This window comes from Homo sapiens, chromosome 15, assembly GCF_000001405.40.
Source record: "Homo sapiens chromosome 15, GRCh38.p14 Primary Assembly".
Taxonomy (NCBI): domain Eukaryota; kingdom Metazoa; phylum Chordata; class Mammalia; order Primates; family Hominidae; genus Homo; species Homo sapiens.
Window position 1 is genome coordinate 33,323,874 of NC_000015.10, and position 26,322 is coordinate 33,350,195.

At 39.5% G+C, this 26,322-nt stretch overlaps 1 protein-coding gene across 19 annotated transcripts in view, besides 1 other annotated feature; it reads left to right on the plus strand.

Annotated features, from left to right (window-relative positions):
* The window catches only part of RYR3 (ryanodine receptor 3), a 555,136-nt gene that overhangs the window by 12,907 nt on the left and 515,907 nt on the right, over positions 1 to 26,322 (plus strand). The window contains exon 1 of one of the 19 annotated variants that reach the window (XM_017022474.2): positions 23,070 to 23,356. The exons of the other annotated variants lie outside the window; for them this stretch is intronic. Within the exon in view, the coding sequence (XP_016877963.1) occupies positions 23,327 to 23,356 (30 nt within the window). The 5' untranslated portion in view covers positions 23,070 to 23,326. Of the gene's footprint in view, positions 1 to 23,069; positions 23,357 to 26,322 lie in introns of those variants that run through there. 19 annotated transcript variants of the gene reach the window in all.
* Positions 4,235 to 4,746: an enhancer, noted in NCBI's record as "NANOG hESC enhancer chr15:33620309-33620820 (GRCh37/hg19 assembly coordinates)". NCBI's record gives its function as "activates a minimal SCP1, AML or CMV promoter by ChIP-STARR-seq in naive H9 embryonic stem cells {active_cell/tissue: H9 hESC(naive)}" and the evidence as "EXISTENCE:reporter gene assay evidence [ECO:0000049][PMID:30033119]".

A 26,322-nucleotide genomic window follows, 5' to 3' on the forward strand; every position in this document is an offset into this window, starting at 1 on the left:
TAAGAGGGCAAATAACTCACAAAGCTGGAAGAGGCTCCCGGATCTAGTCTGAACTGCCCAATTAAATGCAGATTAGAAGGCAGGTTTATTGAGGTTTTGAAGTAAAGGAGAGTTAGGGTTAACCTTTATCTAGCCCACAGGTTAGGTATAATATGTCACTGGGCAGGATGTGACCCTTTGCCCAGACTTCTTTATCACCATATGACATGGTACATGGAATTCCTGACATTCAAGATACTCTTTTGGATTAAGGTTTTATCTCCAAGGCATTTGCCTTGGATATTGTCTGGGGGTGGGAGGAGTGAATTTAGATGTTACTATACATCCTCTTGGATTATGACATTCTCTATGGATGAAACTTTGGTCTGGTAATATGGCATTTGGGATATAAAGAATTACCACTAAGGCACTGGCAGATTCCACTCACAGTAGGTTACCCTGTATCTTCTGGGGAAATGGGGGAAGGAAGGGTACTCTAAAAAAGTGGCATCTTAAGGATAAGGAGTAGGAGCACAGAGTCCAAACATCACTAATGTCGCCATTTTTATCCCAATCTTATTTTGTAGATGCTAATATCTTAGATAAAACTCAGTGCTTTCTATCAATAGAGGAGGGGTTCTAATGTTAAATGTTTCTTTCTTTACCGCCTACCTTTCTTCATCTTTGGTGCTTGTCAACATCTAGCAAGCTGTGTATGACACTGATTTATCCTGTTTGTCTCTCTCCTACTTTGCAAGCGTTCAGGGGCCAGAAGTTTTGTTCTTTTCTTTGCTGTGTTCTTGCTACTAAGGATGGTGCTTAGCATATAGTAGGTCTCTGTAAAGAGTTGTTGAAAGAGTTAGTAAATCCTCATCTGCTGCCCCTCCAGCCCAGGTGCTCACCTCACTCAACTCTCTGCTAAGTTCCCCTCTCTGTGCACTCATGGTTGGTGAGACTGAAGTATGTGTTGACACAAAGTTAAAAACCCAACCGCATTATGGAATGATCCACTGGGGATCTGGGGACTAATGTCTCAGTTTCTGATCTCAGTGGCTTATAGGATGCCAGCTTGTGAAGACTGAGAAATCAGGATGGCATGGACATCACATATGCATTTGCCTGATTCTCAGGACTAAACACACATATGGGATATTTCTAGATTCTTCTAAAAATGGAAAATAGATATAGGACAATTCTATATTTATGGGACATACGTCTGCTCTACATATTATTGATACCAGTTTGATGACTGTTCATATTTTTGTATTTCTTTGTGCTTGCAAACTGATGCTTGTTTGAGAAACTGAAGGTTATTTGATGTCAGTGTACCTTGGACAACATTTCTGTGTGCTTTTAAATCCTATAGTCTGTACCAGATACAAACCAGTAACCACTCTATAGGACCCCTTTACTCCCATGAGATTCTGGAGCACCATCAACAGCAGATACCAGCCCCCTCCACTGGCATGTGTACTTGCCGATTAGGAGCATAAACCCAGCCATCACTCATATCTAAAGATGAAGGGAAGACATTTTATTGACAGTTGAAGTTATTGAATGGTCCAAGATTAATTTTTGTTTGGCTTTGAAATGTACTTTACTACTTTCATGTTGCTTAGCTTGTTTCTACTTTTATATTACTCCTGTTTCCTTCTAGTCCTCATCTTCCTTTAGAATCTACAGCTTCTTCTGAGCCTTCTGATATTTCTCCTTTAGGGTCCTGAATTCCCATAGGATTATGATGAGGTTTCTTTTCTTTTCCTTTCTTTCCTTTTCTTTTCTTTTCCTCTCTTTCCTTTTCTTTTCTTTTCCTTTCCTGCCGCTTTCCACCTTCCCCCTTCCCCCTTCCCCTCTCTGCCTTCCCCCTCCCCCTCTTCCTTCCTTCCTTCCTTCCTTCCTTCCTTCCTTCCTTCCTTCCTTCCTTCTTTCTTTTCTTTTCTCTTTTCATTTCTTTTCTTCCTGTTGTTGAGACAGGGTCTCACTCTGTTACCCAGGCTGGAGTGCAGTGGCACAATCATGCCCCACTGCAGCCTCCATCTCTCGATCTCAAGCAATCCTCCCACCTCAGCCTCCCAAGTAGCTAGGACTACAGGCATGTGCCACCATGCCTCGCTAATTTTTGTAGTTTTTGTAGAGATGGGGTTTTGCCATTTTGCCCAAGCTGTTTTCTTGAACTCCTAAGCTCAAGCAACCTGCTCACCTCGGCCTCCCAAAGTGCTGGGATTACAGGTGTGAGCAACCATGCCCGGCCTATTTCTTTCTTACACGAGTCTGTTGAGGTTCTTTGTTTTTTGTTTTCCCCAATGTCTACTGAACTAAATCAAAGCTACTATCTTCTAAAAGAACCATAGGGCATTATAGATAGGAAAAGACCCCTGGCAATCATCTGTTAACTATTGTGTTAGGGAACTGAGATGCTATCCCCTTATTCATCCGTCCATCCACCCATTCATCCAGCAAGCATTTGTTGAGTACTTACTATGTAAAAGGCATGTGCTAGGGATTGGAGAAGATTTAAAGGTGATCAAAACACATAATCCCATTTTCAAGGATCTTAAAGTGTGGTCAGAGAGTTAGATATCTAAGGAACTAACAAGAAAGCAGAACAAAAATGTGTTAAATAAAGGTAAAAGTTATACATCCTAGAAGGAATACTTTTGACTAGGGAGTCAGGGAAGATTTGAAAAGAGAGGGAACATTTGAACTGGGGGTTTCTATAGGTTGTTGATAGGTTGCAAATGGAGTGAAAGAGGCACTTGAGACAGAAGGATGATCGTAAAGCAATACTCAGCAGTATAAAAGTATGTGACATGTTCAGGGAACTATAAAGACTGGAGTGTAGGGAGGTACATGGAAGACTGACTGTGTTGGGAGATAAGGCTGGAAAACTGGGGAGCAAATCAAGACAATCTGGCCTTAATTCTTTAGGTAATGGAGAACTAGCTAACATAAGTGCAATTAAGTCTAAAAATTTTGAACATACTTATGATAATTTACTACAGCATGGTTTTGATAAGGTAGACTATATAGACATAGATTATGAAGGATGCTTTTTATATTAATTTCTTCAACTTATTGTTATATGTCTGATACTAAATCATTTGTGCAATTGCAACTGTAAATACTGTACTTGATAAGCCTTAGGGTGTAGTTTAAAAAAAAAAAACTCCACTGACAGAGAACTGGCATTGCCCCTTGCATGGAAGTGAAAGACGAGACGCATGTTACATCTGTAATTTTCTTCATGGAATGAGAGCTGTTATACAGCTATAGAAGATGATTCACCTTCTCAGGCCAAAGGATTAAAGGTGACAGAAAAAAAAGTAAGTACTTTGAGAACATGTAGAAAACAGAAGCTGATGAGCACTGGAGGGCTATAGTCTTATTAAAGGTGTTACTGAGGACTCTGGTTGTTGAAAGTTGAGTATCAGCAGCATCCCTCATACCTCACACTGTTAAGTGTGTATGGATCCTCCACTTCTGGCAGAAAGCCACGAATCCATGGGACACAGGGGCTGTCTTAAAGCCACTGGTGATAGTGTGGTACAACCATTGTTTGAATACACATTTATAGACCTTGCTACCCTCGCTCTGGCCCTTTGAACCTACCATTTGGTTATATCTAATAGTGAAGAAAAATTGGAGAATTCAAATCAACACAATCAGATTGTTTAAAATTTTGCTAAAGGTTTAGTAAGGACTATAACTGGAAAGTGATTGTTAATTACTGTTTTCTGAACTAAACAATCAGGTGCTTGATCATATTGTGCAAATTTTACTTCATGTTATGAAAATCTCCTTTTCTCCACTAGACTGAATAGCTCCCTGGAGGGGAAGTTGCCTGCCTGCCTGCCTGCCTGCCTTCCTTCCTTCCTTCCTCCCCATCTCTATCTCTCTCTCTTCCTTTCTTTTCCTTTATCAGTGCTTATATTTGGGTATACAGTGACTCAGTGATTACTTGAATGATTTTTCATTCATCATTTCTGCATGGTCTCATTGATTAGACTAGATATTCTGCAAGTATTACTTCAGATCCCCCCAAGTGGTGTTTTCTTACCTAGTTACTTATGAAAATCCACATTCAGAAATTGCAGGTTATATTCTGAGTTAGACAATGTGAACCTCTAATGGGAATGACTTGTTTTCAATAAAATTTCAAAAGGGGGTTGTGTCTGTATGTGTGCCTGAAATTAAGTCCAAGACTGGGTTTTTGTTGCTGTGTTTTCTGATATAGCCCTAATGGCCAACACAGCATTTCACCTATAGCATGTGCCAAATAAACATATGCAGAACAACCTAATAAAATGAAATGGAGAAAATGGGAAGAAACATAAGTTTATTTGAAATCTGACATCTCATGTTCCAACTAAACTCTACATCCATCCTATTTCCACCTATGTAGTATCATGAGTTCCCTGTGTGGGCTGTTACGGCAGCTCTGCCCACACCGTCCTTATCTTTCTGGAGTGCTTCGTCTGTTCCTTTTCAAGCTTCCTATTGTTCCTTTTAAGTGTGCTTAACTAAGTGGGCCACCCATCATAGCTCCTTTCTTTCACCTAATCTTCAGTTATTCCTTCTCAGGTTCCTTTCTTCAGGTCTAATGTCCCCTGCTACATTTTCAGATGGGTTCCTTCTCTATCACTAATCTTCATGGGGTCATTAAAGTGAGTGCCCCAGATAATATTCTCTTTGCTTTCATCAAGAGCTTCATTATGCTTTTGGGAACATTACATATAAGCAATTATAAGTGCATATATTTCCTATGCTTTAGTTAAGACTGATTTGTAACCTTCCTTTTCAGATGTTACAGAGGTGTAATTGTTGTCTTAGACTTTGGTTTGTAGATCTAATATGGTCATTTGAATGCCTGAATCATTTTGTAACCTTTTAATAAGCCCAGACCTCGCATTTATTCAAATATGTCTAAACTTGTAAAAGTACTTTCTCCTCTTCCTTCTTATGCTTATTGATTCTTACTTCCTTCATCCTTTGCTTACTTTTTCTAGCTTGTGGTTTTATTTTCCTCTTTCTCCCCCTTTTCCCTTGTTTTCAGATGTATCTCTCCTTCTTCATTTCTTGCTTTCCTTTTTCAGTCTTTCTCTGGAAATATCAGTAAGTACAAGTAAAGTTTAGCTATGGAATACTAATGTAGGCTGAAGTACTCCAGTTAAAGGAAATTTATGGTTAGAGTAACGGCAGTTACTCCCTGCTTAGTGAACTTCTGTAGTTGTCTATCAAGTCTGGTCTGCAAGCCGAGGGACAGTTTCCTGCTTCCTCTTCTTCTCCCATCCCCATTTCTTCCCCTGGCTTACAGAAGGTTTCTGGAGGATGCCTCAGGCACATGGGCTGGTGATTCTTTCTTCTCTATTTTACATATGGGTAAGAACTCGTATGTAATGCTAACCTGAGTTTCTACGAGTGGTCAGCAGGAAATATTTAATTTTGTCATCTAAGATATGAAAATTTTCATGTCCCCAGAGAAGTCACTTACCAAGGAACATGAATACTGCTAATAAAAGTTACAAAAGATGAATATAAAAACTGGAACTCAGGCTTCAAATTTACCAGAATATACTTGGCTCAAACCGATGATCTATGTAGGGTTTTAAAGTTCATTAAGTTGTTTGATGAGTGTGGAACTGATGGAGACAAAAAGAAATTGATGTTCCTGAAAGGAGCATCAGGCTCACTCGTTTCAGTGTGTAGAGCGATTCCACTTTTGAGCATCTTTGTCGAAAGAACTGGAACACAATATGTACTGGAAGCTGGAGCTATGTTGGTAAAAATGCTTACTCACCAGTTCTCAATGTTCTCAATACTCCTTAACATCAAAATCTTTGGCCATCACAACATTATCTGTTCTTAAAATTTGACAAAGGATAGTCTATTTTTCATTTGATGCTTGTACATAGGACTGGTCTATGCCCAAATAAGCAGCCTACAGGTAGTACCCAAATATAGGAGACTCCAGACTTTGTGCGAAGGGGAGATGGTTACTGTTGTATTTGTCTGTGGCAATGTAATGCCAAGGAGATAGTCATCAAAATACAGGAAATGGAGGCAAAAGTTGGGAGTCGGGAAGGAAATATTTGGTAAATCAAGAGGACAGTATGAATGGGTGAAAGGGAGTGATCTTGTGTATAAGTGCACAAACCCTGAGGTCCTTCAGGGCAGTCTTCTTACCCAGGCCTAGGGCACTCTGGGCCAAGAACAGTCATAAGTCAGACTGGACAGTTTTTCCTTGGGTTACATTCTATGGAGGCACCATCCTAACCAATGAATCTCATGAGTAACTTAGCTCAAAGTGGCGGTGCTTGTTGGCTTCAATTTTAGGGTACATGTTCTTTGTCCCAAAATCATCAGGCTACACCTCTTTATGTGCTTCACTGTCTTCTATTCAGCAATCACCTGTATTCCTTCTTCATGTCTTCTGTTTATTCCCAGAACTTATACTAAGTAAAACAAACAGAGGAGTTTCTTTGTTTTCTCTGTCTTTGCATCCCCCTGTCTGAAGTAGTCTCTTCATTGGAGCAGTTGCCATCATGCCATTTTTTGCCTCCCAACTTTTCCCAATCAACCATAGCTTTCTACACATATGCCTGGAGGCACTGTCCACAGGCTGGTTAACCCAGGAGGCTCTCTCTCCTGTGCTCTAACCCTCCCTACTCTTCCTCTCCCCCAAAGTTTACCTGACTAGTGTTCCTTCACGTCGTGATTCTCTTTGGTATCTCTACTGCTTTTATGAGTTGATTTGAATTAGAGTATTAAAGATTGACTAATACTATGCTCCCAGATAGTTGTATTTTAAAATCAGTCTTCAATGTCGTTATTCATGTAAGTGAACAATAACTGGAATTCTAGGCATGCTAGGAGCAGGATGCCATAGGTTGTAGCTGCTACTCAGAGGTACTCTAGTCCCAGGGTTATCAATCCCCTTCGTCAGTCTTATAGATAGAGTGTATAGCATTAAACTTAGAACTTAAAAGCTGTGAAATGTTAGTTTTCACAGGATTCTCTTAAGCCACCCATTTAGCATTTGTGTTTTAGTATTATCTCTGCTACTAGCTCTGCAAACTTGGTCTATTACTCATTCATCTCTAAAATGAATGCTCTGTAAATGCAGAGGATCTCCCCCTGTAGCTGCTTTCCCCAGGAGCAGTGTGCTCCAGTGACAGAACTTTGTTTGTTTGTTTGGTTGGTTGGTTGGTTGGTTTTTGTTGTGCAATTTTATGAACAGAGTTGAGAGAATATATTTTAAAGGCTGGTTTTCAGAACGGAGCCTCTTCATCCTACTATATATTTTTAAACATACTAAAGTTAACTTTTTTCTCGACAAATATACTTTGGACCTTTTGAAAGAGTAATCTTTTAAAACGAGTTCATTCTCTTCCAAATATTAATTCTATAATGTTCTTGATGTCTCAGTACTTTAGGGTGTAGTCACATAGTTAAGAAGGCAAAAAAATGTGTTCTTAAATCCATTCCACCTATTATCTTATAGCTGTTTAATTCACTAATGTTCTTATAAGGTAGATCACTAGCTAATTCCACATTTTATAAGGATGCACTGAAGCATAGTTTGGTTTAATTAAGTAATTTTTGGTAGCGAATTAATTGTTTTACTAGAAATAGACTCTTAGTTTTTCTTGCTTCACTTGGTAATGACAGTGCCTCTAGCTCTTCTTCTGTGATTAAAAAATGTATACATGAAATACATATTTATACATTAAGTGCTGAGAGAAAATAGGATATTCAGTGAAATTATCTTTCAAGAATAAAGACTTAAGACATTTTTCAGAAAAAAAACAAACCTAAGAAGGATTACCACAGACAGAACTTAGCTAAAGGATGTATTTCAAGAAGAATAAAAATGGTCATAAAAAGAGGGTTTAAGAAGAAAGAAGAAATGGTAAGAAAAACAAAATTAAATTAAAATAAAGTGATAAATATGTCTACTGGAAACAGTAACAATATGTGTAAGTTGTGGGGTTAATAAAACCAGTATGTATCCAAAATTTTGGATAATAATTGCATGTAAATAGCATGAAAAGTGGAAGGTAATTGATGATAAAGAATTCTTAGATCCTTTTATCATTGTAGGAGGGTAAAGACAGTGATTTTAGACTTTAAGTATAATATGCAAATTAAAATTTCTAGACTATCCAGGAAGAAAGGAAGGAAGGAAATAGTACATAACTTTAAAGCAAGTACAGGAATTAAAGTGAGGAAAATTTTAATCAATCTGAAAGAAAACAAAATTGGAAGTACAAAATCAATGAGTTAAATATCCAGATATAGCAATAATGACAACTTAATGGGCTTATCCTCCAATTAAAGCTAAAGATTCTCAGAATGGATACATAAACAAATTCATAAATATTAATTAGAAATGAATAGGGACAGTGCTTATCTTTGTAAGTAGTCCAGTTCATCAGGAAGTTATAAAATGTTTAATTGGCATGCGTCTGAAAATATAGAGCAAAAATGGTCAGTGCTGCAAGAAGAAATTGTTAAATCCACTGTTTAATGGGAAATGTTAACACTTATCTCAATAATTGATCTGTTAAGCAATCAACAAGGATATAAAAGAGTTGAAAGATACAATTAATAAGACACTGCATTCAGCAGTTATAGAATACATACTATTTTTAAGCACACACACAGAAATTATAAAAAGTGATCATGTACCAGGCCAAGAATAACATTTCTAAAAATTTTAGGCAATCAGTATCATATAAATCTTATTCTCTCATTACAGAACAATTTAGATTAGAAATCAGTTACAACAAAGATACCTTGAAAAAAACCTGCATTTGAAAATTTAAAAATTACACTTTCTAAATGACCCACATAACTTCCTTTAGTCAAATAAATTATACCTGATGGTAGAAATAACTAAGTTCAGAAGAGTTATGAAAATACCATATAGCAAAATATATGTGTTGTAGCTCAAGCAATACTTAGAAAAAAATCTGTATTCTTAAAGCAGGGTGGGCAAAATTTTCTGTAGCAGAACAGATAATAAATCTCACTATTTACTGTCAGAACTCTGTTGCAACTACTCAACTTTGTTTTTGTAGCACGAAATCAATCATATCCAATAAATATGAAAGTAAATGGGTCTGTCTGTGTTCTGATAAAACTTTATTTAAGAAAACAGTCAGTGCCAGTAACAATTTTTGAAACTGAGGCAATAATAAATAGCCTACCAACCAAAAAAAAAAAAAAAAAAAAAAAGCCCAGGACAAGATGGATTCACAGCTGAATTCTGCCAGATGTACAAAGAAGAGATGGTACCATTCCTACTGAAACTATTCTGAAAAATGGAAAAGGAGGGACTCTTCCCTAACTCATTCTATGAGGCCAGCATCATCTTGATATCAAAACCTGGCAGAGATACAATAAAAAAGGAAAATTTCAGGCCAATATCCTTGATGAACATCAATGTAAAAATCCTCAACAGTATACTGGCAAACCAAATCTAGCAGCACATCAAAAATCAGGTAGGCATCATCTCCAGAATACAAGGTTGGTTTAACAATGCAAATCAATAAATGTGATTCATCACATAAACAGCACTAAAGACAAAAACCACATGATTATCTCAATAGATGCAGAAAAGGCTTTCAGTAAAATTCAACATCCTTTCATGTTAAAAGCTCTCAATAAACTAGGTATTGAAGGAACATACCTCAAAATAATAAGAGCCACATATGACAAACCCACAGCCAACATCATACTGAAGGGCAAAAGCTCAAGCATATCCCTTGGAAACCAGCACAAGACATGGATGCCCTCTCTCACCACTCCTATTCAGCGTAGTATTGGAAGTTCTGGCCGGGACAATCAGGCAAGAGAAAGAAATAAAGGGCATTCACATAGGAAGAAAGGAAGTTAAACTATCCCTGTTTGCAGACAACATGTTCCTATATCTAGAAAACCCCATAATCTCAGCCTAAAAGCTTCTTAAGCTGATAAGCAGCTTCAGTAAAGTCTCAGGATACAAAAATCAATGTGCAAAAATTGCTAATATTCTTCTACACTAACAACAGTCTAGCCAAGAGCCAAATCAATTCACAATTGCCACAAGAAGAATAAAATACCTAGGAATATAGCTAACAAGGGAAGTGAAAGATCTCTGCAAGGAAAACTACAACCACTGCTCAAGTAAATCAGAGATGTCACAAACAAATGGAAAAACATTCCATGCTCATGGATAGGAAGAATCAATGTTGTTAAAATGGCCATACTGCCCAAAGCAATTTATAGATTAAATGCTAGCCTCATTAAACTACCATTGACATTCTTCACGGAACTAGACAAAACTATTTTAAAATTCATATGGAGCCAAAAAAGAGCCTGAATAGCCAAGGCAATCCTAAGCAAAAGGAACAAAGCTGAAGGCATCATGCTACTCAACTTCAAACTATACTAAAAGGCTACAGTAACCGAAACAACATGATACTGGTACAAGAACAGACACATAGACCGATGGAACAGAATAGAGAACGCAGAAATAAGACCACACACCTACAACTATTGGATCTTCCACAAACCTGACAAAAATAAGCAATGGGGAAGGGATTCCCTATTCAATAAATGATGCTGGGATAACTAGCTAGTCATATGCAGAAAATTGAACCTGGACTCCTTCCTTACACCTTATACAAAAATTAACTCAAGATGGATTAAATACTTAAATGTAAAACCCAAAAACTATAAAAACCCAGAAGATAACCTAGGCAATACGATTCAGGAAATAGGCATAGGCAAAAATTTCATAATGAAGATGCCAAAAGCAATTGCAACAAAAGCAAAAATTGACAAATGGGATCTAATTAAAGAGCTTCTGCACAGCAAAAGAAAACTATCAACAGAGTAAACAGACAACCTACAGAATGGGAGAAAATTTTTGCAAACTATGCTTCTGACAAAGGTCTAATATCCAGCCTCTGTAAGGAACTTAAACAAATTGACAAGAAAAAAAAAAAACCCCATTAAACAGTGGGCAAAGCACATGAACAGACGCTTCTCCAAAAGAAGACATACATGCAGTCAACAAACATGAAAAAATGCTCAACATTACTGATCATTAGAGAAAAATGCAAATCAAAACCACAATGAGATACCATCTCACACCAGTCAGAATGGTTATTATTAAAAAGCCAAAAAATAACACACGTCAGTGAGGTTGTGAAGAAAAAGGAACACTTTTACATTGCTGTTGGGAGTGTAAATTAGTTCAACCATTGTGGAAGACAGTGTGGCAATTCCTTAGAGACCTAAAGACAGAAATACCATTCAACTCAGCAATCCCATTACTGGGCATATACTCAAAGGAATATAAATCATTTTATTATAAAGACACATGTATGTGTATGCTCATTGCAGCACTATTCACAATAGCAAAGACATAGAATCAACCTAAATGCCCATCAGTGATAGACTGGATAAAGAAAATGCAGTACATATACACCATGGAATACTATGCAGCCATAGAAAAGAATGAGATCATGTTCTTTGCAGGGACATGGATGGAGCTGGAGGCCATTGTCCTTAGCAAACTAATACAGGAACAGAAAATCAAATACTGCATGTTCTCACTTATAAGTGGAAGCTATATGATGAGAACACATGGACACATAGAGGGGAACAGCATACGTTGGGGCCTATCAGAGGGTGGAGGGTGGGAAGAAGGAAAAATAACTAATGGATACTAGGCTTAATACCTAGGTGATGAAATCATCTGTACAGCATGAAATAATCTGTACAGCAAACCCCCATGACACATGTTACATATGTACCAAACTTGCACTTCCTGCACCTGTACACTTGAGCTTAAAATAAAAGTGAAAAAATAAAGAATAATTAAAAAAAAAAAAAAGATCAGTGGATCAGTTTTGGCCCAAGCTTCTTGGTTTGCCAACCCCTACCTGCTATTTATGTATTTGTTTATTTATTTCATTTAATCATCCTTCATAGAACAAAACTCTTGCCTTTTAAAGGCTGGTACTAGAAGAAGAGAAAGGTTGGAATAAATTAACCATCTAACATAAGATCTTAATTTAAAACCTAAAGAATAAACCTAAAGAAAGGAACAGAAAGGAAATAAATGATAAAGACAAGAACAGCAATAAATAAAAGAAAAGATTTCATAAAACAAAGCCAAATTCTGGTTATTTTAAAAGACTTTTTAGCCTGGGTCCTCCAAAAAGTAGAAACTTAAGTACAGATTAAAGTTTCTAATACTTTTACTTAAGAGACACAAGTCCAAGTCTATGAAAGTGAGATAAAAAGATCAGCAAAAAGCACCATGAGCCTGTAATCTCAGCACTTTGGGAGGCTGAGGCAGGCAGATCACTTGAGGTCAGGAGTTTGAGACCAGCCTGGCCAACATGGTGAAACGCTGTCTCTACTATAAATACAAAAATTAGCCACCCGTGGTGGCACATGCTTGTAATCCCAGTTACTCGGGAGGCTGAGGCAGGAGAATCACTTCAACCTGGGAGGCTGCAGTGAGCTGAGATGGTGCCACTGCACTCCAGCCTGGGCGACAGAGCGAGACGAAAGAAAGAAAGAAAGAAAGAAAGAGAGAGAGAGAGAGAGAGAGAGAGAGAGAGAGAGAGAGAGAGAGAAAGAAAGAAAGAAAGAAGGAGGGAAGGAGGGAAGGAGGGAAGGAGGGAAGGAGGGAAGGAGGGAAGGAAGGAAGAAAAAAGCACCATGAGCTGTCAAGGGCACAACATGTTGCCCAGCAGGCACATTGGCTCAGCAGCATGGTCTTTCATCTGCGTTTGAAAGTAGAGGTATGATCCAGCACAGGTGAGCTCCATGCAAAGGAGAAAGAAGAAGCTGTGCAGGGGAATCTAAGAATGCCTGTGACGTTTGTATTGCAATACAAGGACTATAAAGTTTCTAAAACTCTGGCCGGGCGTGGTGGCTCACGCCTGTAATCCCAGCACTTGGGAGGCTGAGGCGGGCGGATCACGAGGTCAGGAGATCGAGACCGTCCTGGCTAACACGGTGAAACCCCGTCTCTACTAAAAATACAAAAAAAAATTAGCCGGGCGTGGTGGCGGGTGCCTGTAGTCCCAGCTACTGGGGAGGCTGAGGGAGGAGAATGGCGTGAACCTGGGAGGTGGAGCTTGCATGAGCCGAGATAGTGCCGCTGCACTCCAGCCTGGGTTACAGAGCAGGACTCCGTCTCAAAAAAAAAAAAAAAAAAAAAAAAAAGTTTATAAAACTCTGAGGAGACTGATAAAAAAAGAGAAGGCATGAGTAATCCATATTAGGAACAAAAAGAGTACATTACTGATGGAGCAGAGATTTAAAAGATAGGAGAATATTTTGAACTACTTTGTGCCAATAATTTTGAAAACTTAGATGTTAGGTCAGATTCCTAGAGGAATGTAAATTATCAAAACTGACTCACAAAGAAGAAGACAATTAGAATGCTCCTATAAATTATTAAATAAAATGAAAAATGTATTACCAAGAAAGTTTTCTCCAGAAACACAGAGCCTAGGTAATGTTATAGGCAAATTCTACAGCAACAACAAAAATCAAGCAACTGATAATTCCAAGCTTGCAAAAACCTTCTAAAACAGTGGATATAGAAGAAACACTCCCAAATTAATGTATGAGGCCAGTACAAACTTTAAGCCAAAATCAAAGATTATTAATTTTCAGAAAGGAAAATTACAATCCAAGTGCCATTTTTTTTTGCATGTGTTCACTTTTGAACATAGATGCTAAAGTCCTAAACAAAATAACATCAGTTGGAATTTATGAATAGATGAAGAAAAACTATTTCATCATGACTGTCAACTGGTACAGTCACTTTGGAAAATAACCTGATAACATGGTGAAGTTGAATATACACATTTCCTGTGACCCAGCAATTCCTCCCAGTGGAGCCTCTAAACTCATCCACATGTGCATCAGGTATGTGTTCAAGTATGTTCATAGTACTGAACAACTGGGAACAACACACATGCCCATCAGCAATAGAATGGAGAAGGTGTGTACATTATACATATGTCAGTAGAGGAAAATGATGAGACAAGTCTCAATCATTTTAGGAGATTTTTTTTTTTTTTTTTTTTTTTTTTTTGAGACTGAGTCTCACTCTGTCGCCCAGGCTAGAGTGCAGTGGCGCGATCTTGGCTCACCGAAAGCTCCGCCTCTTGGGTTCACGCCATTCTCTTGCCTCAGCCTCCCGAGTAGCTGGGACTGCAGGCGCCCGCCACCACGCCCGGCTAAGTTTCTTGTATTTTTAGTAGAGTCGGGGTTTCACTGTGTTAGCCGGGATGATCTCGATCTTCTGACCTTGTGATCTGCCCGTCTTGGCCTCCCAAAGTGCTGGGATTACAGGCGTGAGCCACCGCACCCGGCCCATTTTAGGAGATTTATTTAAGGATGCACCTGGGAGACAGGTCTATGGCTTTCCTCAAAGATGATTTTCGGGGCTCCAAATTTAAAGGGGAAAGGGCGGGATATTGAGAAGTACATAGTTTTCATGTAAGTGAATCTGCATTTTTACATAAGATGACATAAAAGGGGCAGAGGAAAAATGCGGGGAATCTGCATTTTACATAAGAGAACACAGACAAAACGGGGTAGGGGAATAGTCAGATGTGCGTTTGTGTCTGGTGGGCTGGGGTGACTGCACCTGTAAAGACAAGTTATCAATTTCCATTGCCGTGGTGAAATTTTAACAGCTCACTAGGAATTTCCTTGTGGGCAAAATATGGGGGAGGCATGTAGCTTTTCATCTTGTAGCCATCTTATTTAGGAACCGAAAGGGGGAGGCAGGTTTTCGTGACCCAGTTCCCAGCTTGACTTTTCCCTTTGGCTAAATGCCTTTAGGGTCCCCAAATTTAATTTCCTTTCACATACATATATTCATATATATTTATAGAAGGAGCAGTGAAATGAAATAGCTAGTTACCTGCAACAATGTGGGCAAATTTCATGAACATAATGGTGACAAAAAAAAGTCCTTGAAAAATACAAACTTCGTTTCCTCTTAAAAACAAGCAAAACTAAACAATATGTTATTTATGTGTACATACACACTGTAAAACTATAAAGGAAAGCAAGAGACTGACAAAACTGCACATTAAGGATAGCTGCAGCTTCTGGCAGATGGAAGGGAGGCAGGGAGTCAGAGGGCTTCCGAAGACTGGTCATATTCTCTTTCTTATATCGGTGGTTGGAACATGAGGGCTGTTAATATATCATGTATGACATTTCACACACAAAGGAAAAAGCGGACATTTTTCCAGTAGACATTAGGACTACTGCACACTCGGACCCACAGGACCGAAGGCACTTACGTGCTGGGCCGTGGGACTGGAGAGGTGTGGCTGCTACTGCAGCCTGCTGAGGTGGCAGGGCTGTGGCCCCAGGTCAGACTGGAAGGGCTGATGGGCTCACGGAGAGCTCTTTCTGAGATTTACGTTTTAGAAGGAAGACTTCTGCCCGTATTTTGGAGAGGATGAAAGACTAAGGCCAGTGACCAGGGAACGAGTTACAAGACTTTAAGTTTAGTCCAGGCAAGAGATGACAGAAGTGTCTTCCAAGGTTATGGTAGCCAGGATGAAGAAGAGGGGAAGGATTTGAAAGATATTTCACATGAACGGGATTGGGTGCTGCCTAGTGGATATGGAAGAGGAGGGAATCACAAAAAGCCAAAGATAGCCTCAGAAGGCAAGGATTTCAGCTGGCATAACTAGAAGGTTAAAATTGCCATTACCGGCCGGGCGCGGTGGCTCACGCCTGTAATCCCAGCACTTTGGGAGGCCGAGGCGGGCGGATCACGAGGTCAGGAGATCCAGACCATCCTGGCTAACACGGTGAAACCCCGTCTCTACTAAAAACACAAAAAATTAGTCGGGTGTAGTGGTGGGCGCCTGTAGTCCCAGCTACTCGGGAGGCTGAGGCAGGAGAATGGCGTGAACCCGGGAGGCGGAGCTTGCAGTGAGCCGAGATAGCACCACTGCACTCCAGCCTGGGCGACAGAGCAAGACTCCGTCTCAAAAAAAAAAAAAAAATTGCCATTACCTTAGTCGTGGAACACCAAAGGAGGAATGTTTTTGTGGCTTAAAAGAGAAGAAGAAAGGAAGATGACAGATTGAGCTTGAGGTGTATATGAGACACTTTTGTCCAGGGGTGGCCTGTCCAAAGGGCGTTTGGCCACTGCCCTTCCTACAGACCCATCCTGATCCTACTGCCTGCTTCTCCTCCAAGGACAAACGCCATGTACTTTGTGTTATTCAATCTTCCTTAGCTTCTTCCAACTTAGTGGCTCCCTTTGAACGCTTTAAGGAAGGACCACAGCTCTCACATCACCATGACACAACCATTGCACACATTGCAGGTTAGGAGAACTTACCTTTTGAGCAGTGCCAGACCTGTGCAGAGGGTCAGGGGCTCCAGGATGTGCTCTTCTTACTGTCTGTCATGCTGACAGTGCAGCCTTCCTAGAGTTGCATTTGTTTCTTTTGATGTTGGAGGCTTGATCCAGAATTCCAAAATCATTTAATTAAAATGTAAAGATTCCTATCCAGAGAATCAGAAGACATGGCGTGTTAGCCTGCTAGGGATGCCATTATAAAACACCATAGACTGGGTGGCTTAAACAGCAGAAATTTATTTTTCACAGTTCTGGAGACTGAATGTCCAAGATCAAGGTGTCGGCAGGTTTAGTTTCTCCTGAGGCCTCTCTCTTTGGCTTGTGGATGGTCCCCTTCTCACTGTGTCCTCATGTGGCCTTTTCTCTTGCACACAGGTCCTTGGTGTCCCTTCCTCTTCTTACAGGGACACTAGTCCTATTGGATTAGGGCTCCACCCTTATGACTATGACCTTATTTAACCTTAATTATCTCTTTAAAGGCCCTATCTCCAAATAGAGTCACATTTCGGGTTAGGGCTTTATGAATTTTGTCAGGAGACACAATTCAGTCCATAACACTTGGAATCTAATCATGGCCCACCTATACCCTAGATGTATAGTCTTGGGCAAGTGACTTTTCCTGTACTCCTGTGTTTCTCATCTGAAAATAAAGATCTAGAGACTAGAATGGTGGTTCTCAAATGTTAGAGTGCATTGGAATCACCTGTACCTGTAGGGCTTGTTGAACCACACACTGCTAAGCCCCATCCCCAGAGTTTCTGATTCAGTGGACTTTGTTTTGTTTTGTTTTGAGACAGAGTCTCACTCTGTCACTCAGGGTGGAGTGAAATGGTGTGATCTCAGCTCACTGCAACCTCCTCCTCCTGGGTTCAAGTGATTCTCCTGCCTCAGCCTCCCGAGTAGCTGGGACTACAGGTGCGCCCCACTGCACCCAGCTAATTTTTGTATTTTTAGTAGAGACAGGGCTTCACCATGTTAGCCAGGCTGATCTCGAACCTCTGACCTCAAGTGACCCACCCGCGTCAGCCTCCCAAAGTGCTGGGATTACAGGCATGAGCCACTGCGCCCGGTCTGATTCAGTGGACTTTGCATTTGAACATGTTTTCAGATGCTGCTGCTGCTGCTGCTGCTCTGGAAACACCACACTTTGAGAACCACTGGAATAGAATGATCTACATAGTTCTTTTAAGCCTTATCATTCTAATATTAAATTTATTGGAAAGTAACATCTTGCATCCTTTCTCAACTGGAGTTCCTCATCTGAACCACAACCTGGAAATAGATCTGAGTGGCTGTTTTCTGAATTCTTCCAAAAATGGAGTATATATTGTACCATCTACCATCTAGAAGCAGGAGGGGAGGGGTTGTTCATTCATCATAGAGAGTGGGTGTTGTAGGATGTTAAAGGCTAATTCTCTCATGGAACCCTTGTTGAAAAAGGCTGATATTAGAGGCTCAGTCAGGCTGAAAGGACTCCAGTTATGAACTTTACTTCCCTCAAGGTGATGTCCACAGCTTGCAGGAGAGCAGAACCCCTCTCTTAGATGTCCCTTCTTTCTGTCCAAAAAGGTAGAAAAAATTAAAAAAAAAAATTAGAGCTCAAAGAGATTGTAAGTCATTTCTAGACCAGAAGTATAAACTTTCAGAGGAGGAAACTGAGGCTCGAGGGTGACCTATGCAAAGCCACAAAGCAAATTAGTGTCAGGACCTGAACTGGAATTTAGGGTTAGTGATTCACCTGTCCAGACCAGTGCTTCATACCTACTTAGCTCGAGAAACGAATGATGCAGCAAGGGAAGTAAGAGAATCAACATGGAAGTGGGTGGGCAGGATTTCTGCTTTCTACCAGGAGCAGTGAGTCCTGCCCCCACAGCTGTAGTGGGCGTATTACTTCGGCACTTAGGAAGGTGGCAGATGTCACATGAGCACTCCTGCTGGGATCCTTTGCTGACTTCTGGCCCCTGCCATCTGCAAATTTCCATAGTGTGGGGCTTAGAAAACTGAAAATTTGTTGCATTGCCTTAGTGCTCAATTTTTACAAATTAGGAATAAAATACAAGATGACAGAAGTTGTACTCATAAAAGAAATTTATGTCCACTGAAAGTTAAGCCATGTTCATTCTTCTCAGATGAATTGGGATTTAGCATTATGTTAGTTTCCTGATCACAGCCCTTGATGCCAGTTTTCCTGTATGTACCTGTTTGATGCATTTATATCTATTGACTAAGTATTGAAAATATATTAATAGGTAGGGTTTCCATAACCTGCAGTAGTTTTAAGAATCATTTTCAAGGAAAATGGGTCTCTAGTTTCACGTATATAATATTATCCAATAATCAATCTTGTTTGTTATAATTAAAGCCAATTTGTATTATTCAGTTTTCTACCTCAAAATCCTTCCCCCCTTCTCCTAAATTCAAAAACAGAAGCAAGATGCTTCTCTTCAAAATGGCATGAGTTCTGGTCCCCACTGCTCTTGCCATTAGACTGTAAATTTCCCTGCTGTACTCAGAGAATCAATCTCAAAACCATTTCCAAAAGAAAAAGACATTTCTTATTAACTCACAGCCCAGAAGTTTTATTCGAACTGTGTCCCCTAGATCCTTCCCAGTGTTGGAGGACAAACAGCGACATATGACATATAAGGTATCTAGATACCATGGGGGTCTACAGGGCAGAAGTATAGAGCTTTGAAAAAACTCGATTGTTTTAAATGTTCTGTCTCACTGCAGTTAATTAAGACAGAAATGAACATCCTTAAAAATGCTATTTTTGATAGTGGAAATGAGAAAGTGGAATTAGGGAGTACCATTTTCATACCTTCTTACCTCCCCACTGTAAAAAAGGAAAAGCAACCATTGAGCAAGTGCACAGAACTCTCTCTACTAGGAGTACAGTACTTTACAGCATCGTCATGGAATAAGTAAAAGAATCTGTTTCTGCCAGTTCTCTGGAAGTTCTGAGTTCTTTAAAAGCTGAGTGTAGCTCTTTGCCCTTACACAATCACCCACTTTCCCTAAGCGGCCCTTCATTGTCAAATGCAACGTTAAAAAAATAAATAAATTTTAAAAAAACCCTTCATCTTCTATTCCCTATCTCTTTTACAGTCTAACGAACACCTCCCTTTGTGTTTTCCTCTGAACTGTCTTCTTTGTGGCACCTCCTGCTGAATCACACAAGAGAATCTATTTTGGGTTATTTTGTCACTATTTTATGCCTCCTCCCATCCCCCGCAGTTTGATTTCCCAGATGCTCTCACTTTACTGTCTTTTGAATTTTCCTGCGCTTTCCATCTTCAGAGTGATTTATGATCATCCTTGCCTATTTTTTACTGTGTCATGAAAAGAAATTGTTGTTATCAGTGGAAAAACACTTCTTTTCCTTCAGCATTATTTCTTGTCTACACATCTTGATCTTTTTCAAAATACTTTGCCAATTATTCTTATTTTCAGTTCCTATTGTTTGGTTCAATTTTTCCGATGAGTCAAGATCAAAGTGCGAGGTGTCCCATCCCAGGAACGGAAGCAGACTTTTGCTTATTTGGCCTATTTATTTGGCCCAGTTGCTGAGTTGCTCCTAGCTTGAGAAAGATGTCTTGGGCATTTGCATTTTTCCTATACAGTAGTAATTCTTGATGTCTTCTGGCTTTGGAGTAGTGATTAGTGGAATGGAGAAAGGTTAAGAAGATTTTGAAAGATGGCAGCTTCTAGCAATCTTATTTTAAGATTAAGAAAAAAATCTCTGCCAAAGAAATAGTCCCGAAATGCTGTCGCAAGCTTAAATTCAAAAACGTACATTCACTTGCTGGAATTGTTGTTGTTGCTTTTTACAAAGCAGTATTAATGCAGAGTAATGAGATGCAATCTGTCTGTACTAGCCAAAGCAAATGAAAACTCATTGCTCTGGTTGAAGGTGAGGTTTCAATTCATCCATGTAAACCTGCACCAAAAATGGAAACTCTCTTGCTGACTTCATTAAAGAGCTTGCACCTTGTACTGAAATCTGCCTCATGGTTGAACAAATGTGTTTTGCTGACATTGGGTTGAGTCATGAAAAGTAATTTCTTCCTAGACAATATTTGCTAGTACTGTCTATTTGACAATGTAAAACTAAATTTGGAAAATTAGACCCTGCCATGGGTATATATACACATTGACAAGTGGTTTTCTAATACAGTTTTCGGTTCCCCATTTGCTTGTTTTTGTACGTTCATTTTTAGTGGACAATATATATATATTTTTCCAGAAGACATTTTGGAATCATCTAGTTCATATAGAAAAAATGTGTTAATTTTCCCAGGTGGAGTGTTTTTGTTCTGGGTGGTTCTTAAGACTACCATGTTCAAAACATCTCTCAAGTGTTTCCACTGGACTTTAATTTCAGAGGCTGGTTCTGGGCATAAAACCCCTGATGAGTATAATAACAGAACCATTGAGAAGACGGTTTCTTAAAACAAACAAGGCCTACTTTCTGGTCATGTAAAAATGAGTTATCACTGCTTCAGCCACTACAAAGCTCAAAGTAGGGGAGGTGACTTAACATAAAAATTAAGAGGCCAAGACTGAAAAGATTATATTTAATAAGTATAATTGAAAAGTCTTGAGCTTAAGCATGACAGAGGGTTAGCAGAAGTTCTGATGCTATAGCTGATGTTCAGAATTTTGTTGCTGAAATCCACTTTCCCAATTCTCCCACATTTTGCAGGTAGGAAGGAGGCTTGCACAGATGTGAACTGACTTCCCCAAGTTTGCACAGCTGATAAATAACATAACCAGAATGAGAACTCAGGTTGTCTCGTTTCTAGTCCACTGCTTTTTTTCTTTTCTTTTCTTTTTCTTTTTTTTGCAAGTTCAGTATGAAGTAACTGAGATAGAGTTGCCAAAATCTATATTACAAACTCAGGAAAAAGAAGAATAGAACAGAGTATAAGCCTACCTACTCTTCAGCAATCAACTTATGCACTAAATAAATATTTATTGAGTAGCCACTATGTGCCAGGCATGGAGCTCCTAGCTCACAGCATTACAAAGGACTATATAAGATATCATCTAGCAGCTATTTTATAATTTTCAGCAGCTACTATTATTATTATTATTTTGAAACAGGTTCTCCCTTTGTCACTCTGGCTAGAGTGCAGTGGTGCAATCACAGCTCACTGCAGCCTTGACCTCCCAGGCTCTTAGGTGGCCTCTTAGGTTCCTTACCGCTCTAAAGGCCCATGTTCCTGGAAAAGCTTCTATAAATGTTTTCACGATGGAGTTTTAAATATAAATTCTGCACAGGAGTAACAGTGTTCATTCTAGACCAGCCACAAGACTAAGGAGAGGGTCTCAGACTTTGTACTCTGCCATGCAGAGTACAGACTTTGTATTCTGGGTCCAGCCTGGGTCCCAGCAGAGCAGAAGGAGAAGAGTGTGACGCTCTCCACTGAATTCCCAGCACCTCATTGCATCAGGCTACACAGTGTTCAAGAGAAAATACATAGTTTTTAATATGGAAAATTTTCCAAACTACAAAAAGAATATGCTCTGTTTACAAAAGTTTAACCATTACTGAAATCCCTACATGAAAGTGAAAATCCTTAATCATTCCATCCACCCAGTAAAGCGGTTTGGCATACATTTCTCTAAATGCTTTTTTGAATGTATTAACATGCGCCATTTCTTAATAAAAATCTAGTTATGTTCTATTTAGTAACTTTGTGTTTTTACATAATTATCTTAGATATGTTAGATGTTACTGTATTTATTTGAAAAAGGCTTATACAGCATTTCATTGAATGGAAGTATCATTTTAAACCATCATTATATATATTTTTTCCTATTTTTAAAACAATAATACTATACCAACTTCCAAAGGATATTGATCTTTGTGGTTGCAAAATAGAGGTGACAGGTGATTCTTGGAAATTAGAGAAATACAACACTAGATTTTTAGATGGCTGTGTGCGTGTATGTGTTGGAGTGAGAAGGACATAACTGAGAGGGAGTTGGTCACAAAAATGTATTGAACGAAAATAGATTGTAATTTCTCTAAAGAGAACACTGTGACATTTTATTGTGTCTACATACTGACCTCAGTGGTTTCAAAGCAGTGCTACTGAAATTAATGGAGGAAAATTCTCTTCTCCTTATTATTTACCTGAATCCTCCAATACAATTTGCACCCAAAGTGTGGCAGTAACCCATGCAGCTGCAAGAGCAGGAACCCTGGAACCATTTGGAAGGAGAGCACAGTGGTTTATGTATGGCTTCATCTTTTATTCTGGGCATTATCCAGAGAAATAGTTCAAATATTGATATCCAAATGTAAGAACTGGTATTCTGTATCTACTGTTGGAGTTCAAAATTCTTCAAAATGCCCTGTTGTGCGGGGGGCACCTTGTAGTAATTAGAAATCCTCTTGATATCAGAAAAAATGGTAGGCAAGGTTTTCCCCTGAACTTTGCTTTATAAGTAAGTACACCAGAAAAGGGGGCCTCCAGCATAATCGTGCTTGCTTTATTTGTAAAGGCCCTAAAAGCACGTTAGAATCCAAACTAGTGTTATTGATTTTTAAAATTACTAGGCTTTATTTTAGATTAAAATAAAAATTGAAGGCTTAGGTGGGAGGGTTGCTTGAGGCCAGGAGTTCGAGACCAGCCTGGGCAACATAGCAAGACCCTGTATCCACAAAAATTTTAAAAAAATAGCTGGGCATGGTGGTGGACAGACATGCATCTGGTGTTTTTCTCATGATTAGGCTGGGAGTATGTGTTTTGGGGAGGAAGATCACAGATGTAAAATGCCATTTTCATCATGTCATATCATGGGTCCATATTATCAATATGTTGACTGTTGGTGCTGACCTTGATCACCTGGCTGACATAGTACTTGTTGGCTTTCTCCACAGTAAAGTTACCCCCATAATGTCCCCTTCAGAGGGAAGTCACCATGCACAGCCTACACTTAAGGAGTGAAGAGGTATGTTCCACCTGTTTAAGGGCAGAGAATCCGCATAAATGATTTGGAAGTCTTCTGCATGGAGGATGTCTTTTCTCCTGTTCTATTAATTTATTCAATCATTGATTTATATCATGAATGTAAATAAATGGAATCATGGATATTTATTCTGTATCTTGAGTTATAGTCCAATATCACTTCATCTTGTTGCTCATGTTGTGTCAGATTTGGACATTGGGAGCTTTTTTTTTTTTTTGAGACGGAGTCTTGCTCTGTCGCCCAGGCTGGAGTGCAGTGGTGCTATCTCGGCTCACTGCAAGCTCCGCCTCCCGGGGTCATGCCATTCTCCTGCCTCAGCCTCCTGAGTAGCTGGGACTACAGGCACCCGCCACCATGCCTGGCTAATTTTTTGTATTTTTCAGTAGAGACGGGGTTTCACCGTGTTATCCAGGATGGTCTTGATCTCCTGACCTCGTGATCCGCCCGCCTCAGCCTCCCAAAGTGTGGGAGCTCTTTGAATTGGCTCCTGTGCCCCTTTGTCATAGCCCATCAATTAAACAAAATTTGCTTTTAGGACTTCCTTACTTTCTGACACTAGAAGGTATTCCAGGCTCATCTTGTATATTTTCTGCCCCAGTCCTAGAATCAGCCATTTCTTCCAGGAACCCTAGTTCCTTTCATTGGAGAGTGATATCAGAAACCAACTTCCAGGTACTATGTACCCTTGTTGCTACTGGCATTTTTTTTTTTTGGCACTTTTAACTGACAGAGCAAAGAAAGATATGTATGTATATTAAGAGTAGTATATACATACATCTATAAACATTCCTATATGTAACAATCTGTGTCTCTAGTAAGCTAAACATGAGTGCTGATTGATATCTTCAACTCTATACATTATCACATGGATTATTCTGGCCTTCTCCCTTTGCTTATCTATAAATTCTACTCCCGCAGTGAGAAACCTGTCTCACACCATCTGCCCTGCATTTACTAAGTTGTTCAGTTCTAGTATACATAGATAGCTGTATCAAAATTGTTAGCCCATAACCCCTGTGGGAAACAACTTCACTGCAGTACAGTGTTTACATGCAGTTCCTATAGCCTGTAGTCTTACAGACTTCATTCATTTCCAGAGTTACTTAGGTTGGCATCTTTTCCTCTCTCACTTCAGTGAGGTTGTTTCATACATGGTAATACAGTTAGATTCTCCTGTCATTGTCTTCATTCTTTCCTGAGGTCTCCTGACCTAAGTGATTTTATTTTATTTATTTATTTATTTTTGAGATGGAGTTTCACTCTTTTTGCCCAGGCTGGAGTGCAATGGCATGATCTTGGCTCACTGCAACCTTTGCCTCCCGGGTTCAAGCTATTCTCCTGCCTCAGCTTCCTGAGTAGCTGGGACTACAGGCGTGCGCCACCATGCCCGGGCTAATTTTGTATTTTTAGTAGAGACAAGGTTTCAGCATGTTAGCCAGGCTGGTCTTGAACTCCTGACCACAAGTGATCTGCCCACCTCTGCCTCCCAAAGTGCTGGGATTACAGGCGTGAGCCACTGCGCCTGGCCTAATTTAAAAAAAAAAAATTGCATGCATTAAGTTTCACTCTGTGCTGTGAAGTTTGGCGAGTTTTGCCAGATGTGTCGTGTCATGTATCCACTATTGCAGCATAATACAGAATAGTTTATCACCCTAAAAATCCCCTGTGTTTTATTTTTTTCTCCTCCCCCCGACACCCTGGCAGCCACTGATATTTTCATTGTCTCTATAGTTTGCCATTTCCGAAAGGTCATGTAATTGGAATCATACAGTAGGTAGCTTTTTCAGACTGGTTTCTTTTGCTTAGCAATATGCACTTAAGGTTCCTCTGTATCTTTTTGTGGCTTGATAGCTTGTGCCTTTTTTTTTTTTTTTTTTTGCTAGATAATATTCTACAGGGTGGATGTACCACAGTTTGTTTATCTGTTTACCTATAGAAGTACATTTTAATTGCTTCCAGTTTTGGGGAATTATGACTAAAGCTACTAGTAATGATTCACATACACGTTTTGTGTAGACATAAGGTTTCAGCCTAATTGGGTAAATTCCTAGGAGCGTGAATGCTAGATGTATGGTAAGAGCAGGTTTAGTTTATAAGAAACTGCCAAACTGTCTTCCAAAGTGGCTGCACCATTTTGAGTTCCCACCAGCAATGAATGAGAGTTCCTGTTGCTTGCCATCCTTACCAGCATTTAATATGTCAGTTTTCTGAATTTATCCATTCTAATAGATGTTTAATGGTATCTCATTGTTTTAATTTGCAATTCCCTAATGACGAATGACGCCAAGCATCTTTTCATATGCTTTTTTCCTCCCATTTGTGTACCTTCTTTTTTTTTTCTTCAGATTTTTTTTTTTTAATTATACTTTGAGTTTTAGGGTACATGTGCACAATGTGCAGGTTCGTTACATATGTATACATGTGCCATGCTGGTGCGCTGCACCCACTAACTCGTCATCTAGCATTAGGTATATCTCCCAATGCTATCCCTCCCCCCTCCCCCCACCCCACAACAGTCCCCAGAGTGTGATGTTCCCCTTCCTGTGTCCATGTGTTCTCATTGTTCAATTCCCACCTATGAGTGAGAATATGCGGTGTTTGGTTTTTTGTTCTTGGGATAGTTTACTGAGACTGATGATTTCCAATCTCATCCATGTCCCTACAAAGGACATGAACTTATCATTTTTTATGGCTGCATAGTATTCCATGGTGTATATGTGCCACATTTTCTTAATCCAGTCTATCATTGTTGGACATTTGGGTTGGTTCCAAGTCTTTGCTATTGTGAATAGTGCTGCAATAAACATACGTGTGCATGTGTCTTTATAGCAGCATGATTTATAGTCCTTTGGGTATATACCCAGTGATGGGATGGCTGGGTCAAATGGTATTTTTAGTTCTAGATCCCTGAGGAATTGCCGCTACATAATGGTAAAGGGATCAATTCA